We start from the raw sequence: 746 nt of genomic DNA on the forward strand, positions 1-746 counted from the left end.
GACAAAGTGCAGTGAAAGGAAAGTGAGTTTATTTTCCAAAGCTAGCACTGGGGGAGGCAGCTGGCTTATGCCTCTAGGAATCACTTCAAACTTTAGGCTGGGGAATAGGGCTAAAAAGGGGAGCTAGAAATGGGAGGCATGAGGGAGGGGTGCTGAGTACAGGATGTACATATTTTGTTTTGGTGGCTATCTGAAGCCATGGTCCACTAGGAGCAAGTAATACAGACAGGAGGTGGGGAAATACTGGGTAGAAGAGGGTGGGTCCCCAGCAAAGGCCGCCCCCTGCCAAGCCTGGATACCTGGGGCCCTAAAGTGAGAACAGGTATTCCTGTTTTCGTATCCAAAAAGTTGCCTTTTGGCTCACCACGCCCCCTATCCTTTACTCATGTAAATCCTGAACCCCAGGCTCCACAAGGGAACAAACAGAGGGGCTGACGAGTAGCAGAACAGCACGGCAGAGCAGGAGAGAAGAGAAGGAGCATCTGAATGTCAGGAGGAGTTCAGCTGGGGACGGTCAGATAATCAGCCACTGAACAGCCAAACATCAGGAGAAGATCATCTTCTCACTCTATCCCCTGTCCAGCTCTCCATCCATCTCACTGAGAGCCACCTCCACCACTCAATAAAACCCACACATTCACTCTTCAAGTCTGTGTGTGACCCGATTCTTCTGGGACACTGGATAAGACCCTTGCAAAAAGACAGACAGTCCACTGAGTTGGTTAACAGTTAAGCCATCCGTGGAC

The 746-nt window shown here is 50.4% G+C and overlaps 1 annotated feature.

Annotated features, from left to right (window-relative positions):
• Positions 206 to 500: a silencer, noted in NCBI's record as "tiled region #1727; K562 Repressive non-DNase unmatched - State 24:Quies". NCBI's record gives its function as "represses a minimal TATA promoter and a strong SV40 promoter by Sharpr-MPRA in K562 cells {active_cell/tissue: K562}" and the evidence as "EXISTENCE:reporter gene assay evidence [ECO:0000049][PMID:27701403]".

This window comes from Homo sapiens, chromosome 4 (assembly GCF_000001405.40).
Source record: "Homo sapiens chromosome 4, GRCh38.p14 Primary Assembly".
Lineage (NCBI taxonomy): Eukaryota > Metazoa > Chordata > Mammalia > Primates > Hominidae > Homo > Homo sapiens.